We start from the raw sequence: 3,433 nt of genomic DNA on the forward strand, positions 1-3,433 counted from the left end.
AATAGGGAATCCTTTCCCCATTTCTCATTTTTGTCAAGTTTGTCAAAGAACAGATGGTTGTAGATGTGTGGTGTTATTTCTGAGGCCTCTGTTCTGTTCCATTGGTGTATATATCTGTCTTGTTACCAGTACCATGCTGTTTAGGTTACTGTAGTCTTGTAGTATAGTTTGAAGTCAGGTCGTGTGATGCTTCCAGCTTTGTTCTTTTTGCTTAGGATTGCCTTGGCTATGTGAGCTCCTTTTTGGTTCCATATGAACTTTAGTTTTTTCCAATTCTGTGAAGAAAGTCATTGGTAGCTTGATGGGGATGGCATTGAATCTATAAATTAACTTGGGCAGTATGGCCATTTTCAGGATATTAATTCTTCCTATCCATGAGCATGGAATATTCTTCCATTTTTTTGTGTCCTCTTTTATTTTGTTGACAAGTGGTTTGTAGTTCTCCTTGAAGGGGTCCTTCACATCCCTTGTAGTTGGATTCCTAGGTGTTTTATTTTCTTTGTAGTAATTGTGAATGGGAGTTCACCCATGATTTGGCTGTTTGTCTGTTCTTGGTGTATAGAAATGCATGATTTTTGCACATTGATTTTGTATCCTGAGACTTTGCTGAAGTTACTTATCAGCTTAAGGAGATTTGGGGATGAGCTGATGGGATTTTTTAAGTATACAATCATGTCATCTGCAAAGATAGGCAATTTTACTTTCTCTTTTCTTAATTGAATACCCTTTATTTATTTATCTTGTCTGATTGCCTTGGCTGAACTTCCAATACTATGTTGAATAGGGGTGGTGAGAGAGGGCATCCTTGTCTTGTGCCAGTTTTCAAAGGAAATGCTTCCAGTTTTTGCCCATTCAGTATGATATTGGCTGTGGGTTTGTCATAAATAGCTCTTATTATTTTGAGATATGTTCCATCAATACCTAGTTTTTTGAGAGTGTTTAGCATAAAAGGCTGTTGAATTTTGTCAAAGGCCTTTTCTGCATCTGTTGAGATAATTATATGGTTGTTGTCATTGGTTCCGCTTATGTGATGGATTACATTTATTGATTTGGGTGTGTTGAACCAGCCTTGCATCCCCAGGATGAAGCCAACTTGATCATGGTGGATAAGCTTTTTGATGTGCTGCTGTATTCGGTTTGCCAGTATTTTATTGAGGATTTTCCCATTGATTTTCATCAGGGATATTGGCCTACAATTCTCTTTTTTTATTGTGTCTCTGCCAGAATATGGTATCAGGATGATGCTGCCCTCAGAAAATGTGTTAGAGAGAATTACCTCTTTTTCTATTGATTGGAATAGTTTCAGAAGGAATGGTACCAGCCGCTCTTTGTACCTCTGGTGCAATTCGGCTGTGTATCCATCTGGTCCTGGATTTTTTTGCTTGGTAGGCTATTAATTATTTCCTCAATTTCAGAACCTGTTATTGGTCTATTCAAAGATTCAACTTCTTCCTGGTTTAGTCTTGGGAGGGTGTATGTGTCCAGGAATTTATCCATTTCTTCTAGATTTTCTAGTTTATATGCATAGATGTGTTTATACTATTCTCTGATGGTAGCTTGTATTTCTATGGGATCAGTGGTGATATCCCTTTTATCATTTTCTATTGTGTCTGTTTGATTCTTCTCTCTTTTCTTCTTCACTAGTCTGGCTAGCAGTCTATCTATTTTGTTGATCTTTTCAAAAAAACAGCTCCTGGATTCATGAATTTTTTTAAGAGTTTTTGTCTCTATCTCCTTCAGTTCTGCTCTGATGTTAGTTATTTATTGTCTTCTGCTAGCTTTTGAATTTCTTTGCTCTTGCTTCTCTGGTTCTTTTAATTGTGATGTAATGGTTTCAATTTTAGATCTTTTCTGCTTTTTATTGTGGCCACTAAGTGCTATAAATTTCTCTCTACACACTTCTTTAAATATGTCCCAGAGATTCTGGTACGTTGTGCCTTTGTTCTTATAGGTTTCAAAGAACATCTTTATTTCTGCCTTCATTTCGTTATTTACTCAGTATTCATTCAGGAGCAGGTTTTTCAGTTTTCATGTAGTTCTGTGGTTTTGAGTGAGTTTCTTAATGCTGAGTTCTAATTTGATTGCACTGTGGTCTGAGAGACAGTTTGTTGTGATTTCTGTTCTTTTACATTTGCTGAGGAGTGTTTCACTTCCAATTATTTGGTCAATTTTAGAATATGAGCAAAGTGGTGCTAAGAAGAATGTATATTTTATTGATTTGGGGTGGAGAGTTCTGTAGATGTCTATTAGGTAAACTTGGTGCAGAGCTGAGTTCAAGTCCTGGGTATCCTTGTTAATTTTCTGTCTTGTTGATCTGTCTAATATTGACAGTGGGGTGTTAAAGTCTCCCATTATTATAGTGTGGGAGTCTAAGTCTCTTTGTAGGTATATAAAAACTTGCTTTATGTGTCTGGGTGCTCCTGTATTGGGTGCATATGTTTAGGATAGTTAGCTTTTCTTGTTGAATTGATCCCTTTACCATTATGTAGTGGCTTTCTTTGTCTCTTTTGATCTTTGTTGGTTTCAAGTCTGTTTTATCAGAGACCAGGATTGGATTACAACCCCTGCTTTTTTTTTTTTTTTTTTTTGCTTTCTATTTGCTTCGTAGATCTTCCTTCATCCCTTTATTTTGAGCCTATATGTGTCTTTGCATGTGAGGTGGGTCTCTTGAATACAGCACACCAATGGGTCTTGACTCTTTATCCAATTTGCCAGTCTGTGTCTTTTAACTGGGGCATTTAGCCCACTTACATTTAAGGTTAATATTGTTATGTGTGAATTTGAGTCTGTCGTTATGTTGCTAGCTGGTTATTTCACCTGTTAATTGATGCAGTTTCTTCATAGCATCAATGGTCTTTACAATTTGGCATGTTTTTGCAGTGGCTGATACCGGTTGTTCCTTTCCATGTTTAGTGCTTCCTTCAGGAGCTCTTGTAAGGCAGGTCTGGTGGTGACAAAATCTCTCAGCATTTGCTTGTCTGCAAAGGATTTTATTTCTCCTTCATTTATGAAGCTTAGTGTGGCTGGATATGAAATTCTGGGTTGAAAATTCTTTTTTTTTAAAGGATGTTGAATACTGGCCCCCATTCTCTTCTGGCTTGTAGAGTTTCTGCAGAGAGATCTGCTGTTAGTCTTATGGGGTTCCCTTTGTGGGTGTCCCGACATTTCCCTGTGGCTGCCCTTTATATTTTTTCCTTCATTTTGACCTTCGTATATCTGACAATTATGTGTCTTGGGTGCTCTTCTCAAGGAGTATCTTTGTGGCGTTTTCTGTATTTCTTGAATTTGAATGTTGGCCTGTCTTGCTAGGTTGGGGACGTTCTCCTGGATAATATCCTGAACAGTGTTTTCCAAGTTAGTTCCATTCTCCCCGTCACTTTCAGGTACACCAATCAAACTTAGATTTGGTCTTTTAACATAGTCTCATATTTCT

This window comes from Homo sapiens, chromosome X (genome assembly GCF_000001405.40).
Source record: "Homo sapiens chromosome X, GRCh38.p14 Primary Assembly".
Taxonomy (NCBI): Eukaryota; Metazoa; Chordata; class Mammalia; order Primates; family Hominidae; genus Homo; species Homo sapiens.